The sequence below is a fragment of the Homo sapiens genome, chromosome 16, assembly GCF_000001405.40.
Source record: "Homo sapiens chromosome 16, GRCh38.p14 Primary Assembly".
NCBI lineage: Eukaryota > Metazoa > Chordata > Mammalia > Primates > Hominidae > Homo > Homo sapiens.
In genome coordinates this window covers 25,051,800-25,065,132 of record NC_000016.10, presented here as the reverse complement: position 1 = coordinate 25,065,132, position 13,333 = coordinate 25,051,800, and the positions used below count along the sequence as shown (strand labels likewise).

General features: G+C 47.0%; 1 annotated feature.

Moving 5' to 3' along the window:
- Positions 9,291-9,420: a silencer, noted in NCBI's record as "silent region_7293". NCBI's record gives its function as "represses an Ori minimal core promoter by ATAC-STARR-seq in GM12878 lymphoblastoid cells {active_cell/tissue: GM12878}" and the evidence as "EXISTENCE:reporter gene assay evidence [ECO:0000049][PMID:35858748]".

The following is a 13,333-nucleotide window of genomic DNA, read 5'->3' as shown; positions in this document are numbered from 1 at the left end:
TGGCAGGGAACTGAAGCCTACTGTTTGGGGATAAGCAGGCTCTGTGTCTGATCCCTAAAATAAGGAGAGTGTTTAGCCAGAGAATTTCATCTGCGGAAGCAGACAGGGAGCGAGGCTTGGAGTTCAGCCATTTGAGGCCCTCTTGATTTAAATGGATGTAAAGACAGAATTTGATATGAATCCTAATTTCAGGCCTTACACCACAATACACTATTAAAAAGTAAGTTTTCCGAGAACTAGTCATTGAGTTCAGTGTCACAAGATTTTAAATAAACATTCTAAACTCAACTGTGGCATAGTGGTTCACGCCTGTAATCCCAGCACTTTGGGAGGCCAAGATGGGAGGATTGCTTGAGCCAGAGGTTCGAGACCAGCCTGGGTAAGATGGTAAGGCCCTATCTCTACAAAAAAAATATATAAATTAGCCAGGTATGGTGATGAGAGCCTGTGGTCCCAGTTCCATGGGAGGCTGAGGTGGGAGGACCACTTGAGGCTAGGAGGTCAAGGCTGCATTGAGCCATATTCACGCTGCTGGGCTCCAGCCTGGGTGACAGAGTGAGACCTCATCTCAAAAAATAAAGAAAGAAGATAATTTCACCTATTGCTTAACATAGAAAATGGGAGCCCTCAGAATGAGACTCCCTTAACTTCCCCAAGAAACTTAACCATCCTTTTTTACTCTTACAGTTGTGAATGTCCTCCAGTAAAGACCACATGAAACACTTTGTAGTTAAGCAAGTTGGGTTTATTACTTGTTGCAAGGAGGGAAGACTCACACCATGAGGAGCCTATCAGTAAGAGGATGTTAGACCTTTAGGATCTGGGCTTTGGCTGGGTGATTTGGGGGAGGGTCCAGGGGTTTGCTCTGGATCGAGTGCTGATAGGAGGTAGGAAAATTCTATCATCCGGTAGCGGTATCTTTTCTAGAAAGAGGTTTGGCTGGAGTAGGGCTAAAGCTACAATGTGTAAAGAAGCCACAGTCACTCCTATCAGCTGGGAGAAGGGAATGTCTGGTATTCTGTGGGTGGCACAGTGACCTTGCTTTTGTCCTTACACAGAATGATGACGTGGTCTCGTGTCATCTCCTATCATCACCACTGCAGAGTGTCCTTGTGTGAGTGGTCTGCATGATTGTTTATGTCCAATAGGAGAACAACATGGCCTTGTTGTGGGCACCAGCCAGCTTCCAAAAACATACGGCCTGGCTCACAGCACCAGGCAAGCTCCTAGAAGTCAGTTTTGCTTTTCTGTTTTTCACAGTGGAGGAGGTGAGCCTTAAAGAGATCGATAAGGGTTTGCCCGGCAGAAGAAAACAGCGTGAGCAGAGGCATGGAGTCTGCAGTAGAACTGCATGTTAGGTGAACCTGATATAGGGTCAGGAGGGGTAGCAGGAGAGATTTCTGGACAGGCTTTCACACAGTGAATCGTGGAAGCTCCCCCAAATCACCCAGCCAAAGCCCAAATTATAAAGATCTAACATCCTCTTACTGATATGTTCCTCATGGTGTGAGTCTTCCCTCCTTGCAACAAGTAATAAACCAAACTTGCTTGACTACAGAGTGTTTCTGGTGGTCGTTACTGGAGGACATTCACAACTGTAACAGTGAAAAAGGATGGTTAAGTTTCTTGGGGGAAGTTAAGGGAGTCTCATTCTGAGGGCTCCCATTTTCTATGTTAAGCAATAGGTGAAATTATCTTATTTATTTTTTGAGTACAAGTTTTATCCTGAGGGATTTGAAGTGAGGAACTGACATGACCTGGGTTTGCATTTCAGAAAAATCCCCAGCAGCTGCGTGGGAGAAGGCTTGGTGACAAAGGGGAAGCCTCCTTTTCTTTCCCACACCCACAGCCCCTGCACCTGCTGTCCTCGCTCATCCGATCTATTGCAACACATCCTTATTCTACCTTTGGCCAGGGTGATTTTTCAGAATCACAGATCTTTTCCTGTAACTTCCTTAAAACCTTTTGATTCCCAATCAATTACCAGTGAAAAATCTGCACTTCATTGCCTGACACACAAACTGTACCTTTCATCATCTGTTCCCTCTAGCCTGGTATCTGGCTTTGCATTAGTTAATTCTTGCACTGCTAAAAAGAAATACCTGAGACTGGGTAATTTATAAAGAAGAAATGTGTGTGTGGTTTGTTTTTTGTTTTGTTTTGTTGTTGTTGTTGTTTTTGAGACAGAGTTTCGCTCTTGTTGCCCAGGCTGGAGTGCAATGGTGCAATCTCAGCTCACTGCAACCTCCGCTTCCCAGGTTCAAGCGATTATCCTGCCTCAGCCTCCCAAGTAGCTGGGATTACAGGTGCCCGCCACCACACTCAGCTAATTTTTTGTATTTTTAGTAGAGACAGGGTTTCACCATGTTGGCCAGGCTGGTCTCGAACTCCTGACCCTAGGTGATCCACCCCCACCCCCCACCCCCACCCCCGGCCTCCCAAAGTGCTGGAATTACAGGCATGAGCCACCACGCCCAGCCAAGAAGAAATGTTTAAATGGCTCACAGTTCTGTTGGCTGTACAGGAATTATAGCAGCTTCTGCTTCTGGTGAGGCCTTGGGAGGCTTCTAATCACGACGGATGGCAAAGGGTGAGCAAGGCATCTCACATGGTGGGAGCAGGAGCCACAGAAAGCAAGGGGTACGGTGCTGCACACTTTTAAACAACCAGAACTCCTGAGAACTCACTATCAGAACAGCACCAAGAGGATGGTCCTAAACCATTCATGAGAAATCCACCCCCATATTCCAACCACTTTCTACCAGGCTCCACCTCCAACACTGGGGACTACAGGCTGGGCGTGGTGGCTCATGCCTGTAATCCCAGCACTTTGGGAGGCCGAGGCAAGTGGATCACCTGAGGTCAGGAATTTGAGACCAGCCCAGCCAACATGGTGAAACCCCATCTCTACAGACAATACAAAAAATAGCCAGGCATTGTGGCGGGCGCCTGTAATCCCAGCTACTCGGGAGGCTGAGACAGGAGAATCGCTTGAACCCAGGAGACGGAGGTTGTGGTGAGCCAAGATCGGGCCACTGCACTCCAGCCTGGGTGACAGGGTGAGAAACTCCGTCTCAGAAAAGAAAGAGAAAAAAAAACAGTGGGGACTACATTTCAACATGAGATTTGGTGAGGACCCAGATCCAAACTGTATCAGGCTGCCAGCTGGCATCTCCACTTGGGGGTCTCAGTACTATCTCAGATTCACTATTTCCAAAGCTGTGTTCAAGATCACCTCCCCAATCTCCTCCCTGCTGTCTCCACCTCCCAACTTAGCAAACAGTGCCATGGCTCCTTCAGTTCAAAAGTAAAAAAGGTAGGCATCATCTTGGAACTACCCTTTTTCTTTCCCCTTATGCAATCAGTCCCCCAAATATGTTGATTTTATCCGCTAAGTATTTCTGGAATCTACTTTTCTTCCACCTCTCCTTTTGGTATCTGTGAAGTGAGCTCCCCCAATCACTCTGACTTTACCCAAATCCATATCTCACACAGAAGCCAGAGGTTTGTAAAAGGTCTGTTTGCTCCTGTCACTCCCTAGCTCAACTGCTTTCTGTTGCTGTTGGGAAAAGACCAGAGTGTCGCCAGGTGTGGTGACTCACACCTGTAATCCCAGCACTTTAGGAGGCTGAGGCAGGAGGATCACTTGAGGCCAGGAGTTCAAGACCAGCCTGGGCAACATAGTGAGACCTTGTCACTACCAAAAAGAGGCAGAAGGATTGCTTGAGCCCAGGAGGTCGAGGCTGCAGTGAGCTGTGATCGCACCACTGCACTCCAGCCTGGGTGACACAGTGAGACCCTGCCTCAAAAAAAAAAAAAAAAAAGAAAGAAAGAAAGAAAAGAAAAGAAAAGAAAAACAAAAAGACCATAGTTCCTTATATAGTCTACAGGGCCCCACCTGCTCTGTCTACTTCCCCAGCCTCACTTCATACCACTCTGTTGCAGAATGTTAAGAGCCAAATCTTCTGAGCCTGGTAAGCTTACTGCTGTCAGCACCTCTGAGACCTCCCTCATCTGAGAATTACCACTTCCCCTTCCTTCCACAGTAAGAGATATCAACAAAACTGTAGAAAACCCTGTCCTCTAAAATTGCAACACTCAAGCTGTGCAGCTGGGCAGCAATCTTCAATCTCCATCCTTAGGGAAGGTTCAGAAGCACAGACGAGGTGTGAAAACTCAGATATGCTCAGCCTGAAATATACAAAAGCCTCTGGAAAGTCTCCTCATAGAAGAACCCAATTAAATTCACATGATTAGAGGCTGAGACAGGATAATCGCTTGAACCCTGGAGGCGGTGGTTGCAGTAAGCTGAAATCACGCCACTGCACTCCAGCCTGGACAAGAGCGAAACTCCATCTCAAAAATAACAATAATAATCCACATGATTAGTCCACACACCTAGATGAGCCATAGGCAAAACAGAGCCCTTTCTCCCTCTACCAAAACAAAGGAAGAGTCTAACGTAAATTCTAAGAGATTCTCCTCCAAATACCAGTATTATGAAGCAGCTTCTCCATACTGATCCAATCAGTATAGGAGTACACGTGTGGAAAATAATGCTTTATTTGTATTTTTAACTGAAAAAAGTAATTCCTGATATGGACAGTTCAGAGTAAAAAGATGTAAGTGGGCTTCGAACACACGAAAATGATGCTCAACCACCTATAAATAGGAAGAGTAAAAAATAAAATTACAATTAAATACCATCTTTCATATAAAAGATTAACAAGTTTTCCTTTCTTTTTTTTTTTTAAGACCCAGTTTCGCTCTTGTTGCCCAGGCTGAAGTGCAATGGTGCTATCTTGGCTCACCTCAACCTCTGCCTCACGGGTTCAAGCGATTTTCCTGCCTCAGCCCGCTGAATAGCTGGGACTGCAGGCATGTGCCACCACGCCCAGATCGTATTTTTAGTAGAGACGAGGTTTCTCCATGTTGGTCAGGCTGTTCTCAAACTCCCAACCTCAGGTGATCCACCCGCCTCAGCCTCTCAAAGTGCTGGGATTACAGGCGTGAGCCACCGCGCCCGGTGATTAACAAGTTTTATAACAAACTGTGTTGGTGAGAAAATAAGCAGTTTTGCCACAGCTGGAAAGGGAGCACGCCACAACTCCCTTCAAGAATGAACACCTGGGCCAGGCGCGGTGGCTCACGCCTGTAATCCCAGCACTTTGGGAGGCCGAGGCAGGTGGATCACTTGAGGTCAGGAGTTCGAGATCAGCCTGGCCAACATGGTGAAACCCTATCTCTACTAAAATACAAAAAAAAAAAAAAGTAGCCACTTTGGGAGGTTGAGGCGAGCGGATCATGAGGTCAGGAGATTGAGACCATCCTGGCTAACATGGTGAAACCCCGTCTCTACGAAAAATACAAAAAATTAGCCAGGCGTGGTGGTGGGTGCCTGCAGTCCCAGCTACTAGGGAGGCTGAGGCAGGAGAATGGCGTGAACCTGGGAGGCGGAGCTTGCAGTGAGCAGAGATCGTGTCACTGCATTCCAGCCTGGGCGACAGAGCAAGACTCCGTCTCAAAAAAACAAAACAAAAAAAATGAGCTGGGCGTGGTGGTGTGTGCCTGTAATCCCAGCTGCTTGGGAGGCTGAGGCAGGAGAATCGCTTGAACCTGGGAGGTGGAGGTTGCAGTGAGCGGAGATTGCCCTACTGTGAGAGGTGACAGTGTGCTGGCAGTCCTCACAGCCCTCGCTCGCTCTCGGCGCCTCCTCTGCCTGGGCTCCCACTTTAGCGGCACTTGAGGAGCCCTTCAGCCCACCACTGCACTGTGGGAGCCCCTTTCTGGGCTGGCCAAGGCCGGAGCCGGCTCCCTCAGCTTGCAGGGAGGTGTGGAGGGAGAGGCGCGAGCGGGAACCGGGGCTGCGCGCTGTGCTTGCGGGCCAGCTGGAGTTCCGGGTGGGCGTGGGCTTGGCGGGCCCCGCACTCGGAGCAGCCGGCCGGCCCTGCGGGCCCCGGGCAATGAGGGGCTTAGCACCAGGGCCAGCGGCTGCGGAGGGTGTAGTGGGTCCCCCAGCAGTGCCGGCCCACCGGCGCTGCGCTCCATTTCTCGCCGGGCCTTAGCTGCCTTCCCGCGGGGCAGGGCTCGGGACCTGCAGCCCGCCATGCCTGAGCCTCCCACTCCCTCCGTGGGCTCCTGTGCGGCCCGAGCCTCCCTGACGAGCACCACCCCCTGCTCCACGGCGCCCAGTCCCATCGACCACCCAAAGGCTGAGAAGTGCGGGCGCACGGCACGGGACTGGCAGGTGGCTCCACTGGGTGAAGCCAGCTGTGCTCCTGAGTGTGGTGGGGACGTGGGGGAACCTTTATGTCTAGCTCAGGGATTGTAAATACACCAATCCGCACTCTGTATCTAGCTCAAGGTTTGTAAACACACCAATCAGCACCCTGGTCTAGCTCAGGGTTTGTGAATGCACCAATCGACACTCTGTATCTAGCTACTCTGGTGGGGCCTTGGAGAACCTTTATGTCTAGCTCAGGGATTGTAAAGGCACCAATCAGCGCCCTGTCAAAACAGACCCCTAGGCTCTACCAATCAGCAGGATGTGGGTGGGGCCAGATAAGAGAATAAAAGCAGGCTGCCCGAACTAGCAGTAGCAGCTTGCTGGGGTCTCCTTCTACTCTGTGGAAGTTTTGTTCTTTTTGCTCTTTGCAATAAATTCTGCTAGTACTCACTATTTGGGTCCACACTGCCTTTATGAGCTGTAACACTCACCGCGAAGGTCTGCAGCTTCGCTGCTGAGCCAGCAAGACCACGAACCCAACCAGAAGGAAGAAACTCCGAATACATCCAAACATCAGAAGGAACAAACTCCAGACATGCCACCTTTAAGAACTGTAACACTCACTGCGAGGGTCCGCGGCTTCATTCTTGAAGTCGGTGAGACCAAGAACCCACCAATTTCGAACACAACTTCACTCCTGCCTGGGTAACAAAGTGAGGAAAAAAAACATGAATGAACCCCTGAAACTTCAGGTCTCTTGGCTGATAAGGAGCTTTCGGGGAGGGAGATGGTCACTTACCTCTGTTGATTTCAGGGACTTTCCTGTCTTTAGACAGTCTCACAAAGTGGTGGATGTAAGGGTCGTGCCAGCAGCCCAACCTTACTGCAAGCCTGGAAGGGAGAAAAAAAGAGGAAGGTGAGTAGAGATTGAGTAGGTTCGGGCCAGGGTCCGCTGCCAAGTTATCAGGAACCAGGTCAAGGAACTCGACAAAAACCAACCATCCACCTCGAAAGGCCAAGTGCACATTCAGTGCCCCGTTACACATGCGAAGACGCAGCCATCCATTCATCTTTATGTTCACGTACCGCCCATTACATTGCCCACAGTGGGCTTCTGACTCCCTTTCCTCATAGTGCTAGTTCACTTCTCAGGACCCTACATAGCAAATAACCTCACTTCATGCTTCATACAAAAGATGTGCAGCCATTTATTCACTCTGCAAACTCATGGCCAGAGCTAGTCAGTTAATTCCACTAAATGAAAAGACCTGTGCCCAGGGGAAGGGAGACTCAGAAACACTTGACAAACAGCATGAATTAACCCAAGTGTTTCTCCTGACTCTGTATTAGGTGCCGTCCTCTTACTCCCCTTACAGAGGTCAGAGTGGGGAAACCAGGAACGAATGAACAATACGTGTACAACTTGGGAAATGCCATGGGAGCCTTAATTGTCTCTATTCTGGTCTACAGTACAAGGAGTTAAGGCTTTGTGTTTCAAGGCTGGGAGCTGAAACCCTGATTAGCACAGGAAGCCTTGTTGCAATCATGAGTAGAACCAGCTTTAGGACGACTGAGGAGTCATGAAAAGAACCTGGATCCCGAAGGCCATGCTCAGCTGCTCTGGGCCTGTGGACTGCTCTATCTCTGAACGTATATTTTGTGAGATAATAAGTGTTTTTACCCTTTAAGCCAATTTGAGTCAGGCTTCTGTTAACAGCCTAAAGCATCCTAATGATACCCTGAGTAATACCCCCATTTCCTTGTTCCCTGCTAAGGTAAAATGTAGGGAATGTGTGTGTGATGTCTCTGAGCTCCTAGAAGCAGATAATATACCTTTTCTTTATATCTACTGCCAAGGCTTACTTCTGCCTTGACTACAATAGGTGCTGAATTCTGTACAAACACATCTCCCAATCTGTCATCCATAGACACCCAAAACACATGTTCAGGTGTTCCATGCAGCAATTCACAGAAACGTGAAATATTCACTAATGTGCACAATTTGCTATACAAGCCCAGACTGTCCAAGGAAAACATACTCAGTTTTATAACCATACACTTACTCAGTTATCTAAAATAGTGCTTTTCAAACAGTAAGTGGTGACTAATTAATATCATAAGATCAATTAGTTTGCAAACCTGCTTTTTTTTTTTTTTTTTTTAATGTGAGGCTGGGATGGTGGTTCATGCCTGGAATCTCAGCACTTTGGGAGGCCGGGGCAAGCGGATCACTTGAAGCCAGCAGTACAAGACCAGCCTGGCCAATATGGTGAAACTACTAAAAATACAAAAATTAGCTGGGCATGGTGGTCCGCGTCTGTAATCCCAGCTACTCAGGAGGCTGAGGCACAAGAATTGCTTGAACCCGGGAGGCGGAGGTTGCAGTGAGCCAAAATTGCACCACTGCACTCCAGCCTGGGCCACAGAATGAGACTCCAGCTCAAATAAAAAAGAAAGAAAGAAGAAATGGAATAGAATAAAATAAAAAATAAGATGCATTACACATAGTGTTAAGACATTTGTGAACCTTTTGTTTCTAATTCTAATTTTTAATTTTTTTGTAGACATGAAGTTTTGCTATAGCTGGTCTCGAACTGCTGACCTCAAGTGATTTCTCCCATCTTGGCCTCCCAAGATGCTGGGATTACAGGTGTGAGCCATTGCACTTAGACAACTTTTGTTTCAAGTGTGTGTTGAGGGTATAAGTGCAATGATAAAGGTTATTTTTTCACTGTGGGTGGCAGTTTCATAAACAGATTCCTTTTTTTTTTTTTTTTTTTTTTTTGAGGCAGAGTTTCGCTCTTGTTGCCCAGGCTGGAGTGCAATGGCACAATCTCGGCTCACTGCAACCTCCACCTCCCGGTTTCAAGCGATTCTCCTGCCTTAGCCTCCCAAGTAGCCGAGATTACAGGTATGAGCCACCAGGTCCCGCTAATTTTGTATTTTTAGTAGAGACGGGGGTTTCATCAGGTTGGCCAGGCTGGTCTCGAACCCCTGACCTCAGGTGATCCACCCGCCTCGGCCTCCCAAAGTGCTGGGATTACAGGGTTGAGCCACCGGCCTGGCCTTAAACAGATTTCAAATGAATCCTCTAGTGCCATCTAGTGTTAACAGTTTTATCTGCAGTTGAAACCCACAGATGAGAACACACCCCACAGTTCTAAGGGTTGGAAGAAGCCTAATCTTGCCAACCCCAGCATCCAGTGCAAGAACCATTGCAACAATATCACTACGTGACCACTCCCCTGAGGAAGGCACTCACCCCACTGCTAAGCAACTCTGTTGAAAAGCTGATCAAAATGCTTCCCTCTGGAAGCCCTAACTTGGTAGACTTACAAAACTACTCTCTTGCATAATAAAGAGCAGGTTCTTCTATTCTCTCACCTCCGGATTCCTTACACTATTCAATACGACTAGTGTAGTCAAGGAACATGTGGGTGTCTGCCAAGTGCTAGGCACTGGGGGTACAGTGGTAAACAAGGAGAGAAAGGAGAGGCAGATAATTACAAGATGATGAGGAATGAAGGCAGTGACTCGTAGAGAGGATGAAGATGATAGGGGGAGGCCTCTCTCAGAACGGGATGGCCGTGGCGAGCCCTGGAGAATGGGAGAGTCAGGTGTCCAAAAGGCATTCTAGACAGGAGGAAGGGCAGGCAGAAAGACTCAGGGAACACACCTGAGCCTCCAGTACAGAAAGGAGGCAGGGAGGCCGGAGGACAGTAAGAAACTGGAGAGGAGGCCAGAGGGAGAGGCAGGCTCAGGACGCAGCGCCTGGTGGGCATCTGGGACTGACCTCAGGAGCACCCTGTCCATGGTCACAGTGGTGCACAGTGGTAGAGAGTGGTGAGATGCACGGGTCCATAATGCAAACACACCCAGCCAGCAACTCCCACCGTCTCCCACCTCTAGTGCCCCTAACACTTTCCTCCTCCCACTCCGCAAACCCAGGTGACTGCAACAGGTTTCCATGCGCCCTAGGAAGAAGGATCTCACTGTCCAGCCTATCAGAGTGGCCAAGATGAAAAGATTTGCCACCCAGTGTTGGGCAGTGAGGAGGAGAGTGCTGTCGGGCGCTGCTGATGGGAGTTCTGAAGGGAGACAAGCAGCAAGTTTCAGGATTTACAGGACATCAGCTGGAGAGTAACTGGACAAATTACAGTGTATCCATTCACTGAAATACTAACCCATCATTTAAAAAGTAAACTAGAAAATCAGACATGGCAAAACATTCCAGATATAATGTTAAGAGAAAGAGGTAAGGCCAAAAATATATGTACCACATGTGCCCGTAAATACATACATATGTATCTATATTACACAGAGAATTACTAGTGGATTGATACCTAAATACTGAAAATGATTATCTCTCTGATTTCTGGGTTTATCCTTCCTAAATTTTCTACACTAACCATATGACGTATTTCATCAAATAAGAAGGCATCAATCCTAAGATGTACTCCCAAGAAAGAAAAAACACTGCCAAATAATTGTAACTGTGAGTTTATTGGAAAAGTTCTTTTGGACTTATTAAAACAGACTGGTATCACTTCTCTCTCTTGCACACATATGAAAAGGAAAAGATCAATGGGAAAGGCTGGTTGTCTTCAGTTTCAGGATGTCTGAGTTTCCATACAATATGGACTATTGTGCTTTCAAGGGCTTTGGTGATATGGCATTTCTTAAGAGATCTTTAGGCCAGGCACAGTGGCTCATGCCTGTAATCCCAACACTTTGGGAGGCCGAGGTGGGCAGATCACAAGGTCAAGAGATCGAGACCATCCTGGCCAACATGGTGAAACTTTGTCTCTACTAAATATACAAAAATTAGCCGGGCGTGGTGGCGCATGCCTGTAGTCCCAGTTACTCAGGAGGCTGAGGCAGGAGAATCGCTTGAACCCTGGAGGCGGAGGTTGCAGTGAGCCGAGATCGCACCACTACACTCCAGCCTGGGTGACAGAGCAAGACTCCGTCTCAAAAAAATTTTTAAAAAAGAGAGAGAGAGATCTTTACTGTCCTCTCTGAGATTGTCTTCTGAGCCCTGGCCCTCGCTCTGTAAGTTTTAATGCTGGCTCTTTCTTCATCTCATCAGAAGTAATGAATAGACAGTTTTTGAACAACAATCAGGATTTGTGCTCCTTCTTCAAATGGTCCTTAAGTGGTATGAGGACTAAAGCATCCAGGGGCTGCAGTCACAGCTGCCCAGCCATGCCACCAGGAATAACAACCACGTAAGCATGCACAGGTAATGACAACTGACAGTGACTGCAGGACACAGAGAACCAATCACATCTGATTTCAAAGAAGTTAAATGGGCCAGACATGGTGGCACGTGCCTGTAGTCTCAGCTACTCTATAGGCTGAGGCAGGAAGATTGCTTGAGCCCAGGAATGTAGGTCCAGCCTGGGCAACAAAGTGAAACCCCCATTTCAAAAAAATAAAAAATAGAAATAAAGTTTAAGGCTGGGAATGGTGGTCCTTGCTTGTAATCCTAGCACTTTGGGAGGCTGAGACAGGTGGATCACCTGAGATCAGGAGTTCGAGACCAGCCTGGCCAACATGGCAAAAACCCATCTCTACTAAAAATACAAAAATTAGCTGGGCGCACACCTGTAATCCCAGCTACTCGGGAGGCTGAGGAAGGAGAATCGCTTGAACCTGGGAGGTGGAGGTTGCAGAGAGCCGAGATCGTGCCACTGCACTCCAGCCTGCGCAACGGGAGTGAGACTCCATCTAAAAAATAATAAATAAATGAATGAATAAATAAATAAATAAAGTTTATAAGAAGATAAATGGTTCATTAGCCTTAAACAAATTAAATGGAAGAGCAGGTGTGTCACAGAATGAATCAAATATTTACCTTTACAACAAGAAATACAGTAAGTGTGAATATCACAAGCAAACATGAAAAGCAAGTATTAAACTAGGAAACACAGGCTAGGCATGGTGGCTCATGCCTGTAATCCCAGCACTTTGGGAGACTGAGGCAGGAGGACTGCTTGAGCCTAGGAGTTTCAGACCAACTAGGGCAACATAGCAAGACTCTATTGCTACCAAAAAATAATAAATAAATAAATAAATAAATAAATAAATAAATAAATAAATATTAGCCAGGCACGGTAGTGCATGCCTGTAGTCATATCTACTTGGCAGGCTGAGGTGGGAGGATTGTTTGAGCCCAGGAGCTCAAGATTATAATGAGCTAGGATTGCGCCACTGCACCCCAGCCTGGGTGACAGAGCGAGACGGTCTCTAAAATAAACTAGGAGAAATAACTAACATGTCACAAAATACTAACATCTTTACATTATGAAGGACTCTTAAAAACAAATAAATAAAAAACCCTAAAATCCCAGAGGAAAAAATTAAGACAAAAGGCAAACTTGGGGGCAGTTCACAAAAGAAACACAACAGATCAATGAACACACCAAAAGCTCAGCCTTATCAATAATGTAAAAAACCCGAAATGAAAGTAAAAACAGAGAGTTATATTTCTCCTATCAAATTGTCAACAAAAGTATTGTTTAATCTAACTTGGCATTGGCCAAGACGAGGAAGAGGGTGCTTGAGCTGCCCGAAGCTTAAACTGGCACAGTCATACTGCAAGGCACTGCGACGACAGGTACAAAAAGCCTGAAACACACACATATACAATGACCAAATGATCCCATCTAAAACTGAACACAGAGTTACAGTATCAGGTGAACCAACCCGATTATTGTTTGTATGTATAGGATGTTCCCAATTTTGTTAAATGATGTATACACACGCAAGGCTGCCCACAGCAGACACCAAAGTGTTAATACACTGTTATCTCTGCACCTTCCACGAGGCTGCACATCCAGTTCTGCCTGTCAATTTCCATTACACATCTCTGCTCACAAAACCCAGAGAATATCACTTCTATTTTTATATCCTGATTTCATATTTAAAGCCCGGATTCAAAGAACCAAACGTCTCAGATGTGGAAAGACCTCAGAGATTTTCCCACTCTTCTTTCAATCCACAAATGCTTTCAGTTTCCATGACATTCACATGCTGCCTGTTCAAGTTACTGTGTTTTTAAATCACTCACTTTTTAAAAAACACTCAGGTCAAATGTGCTGCCCA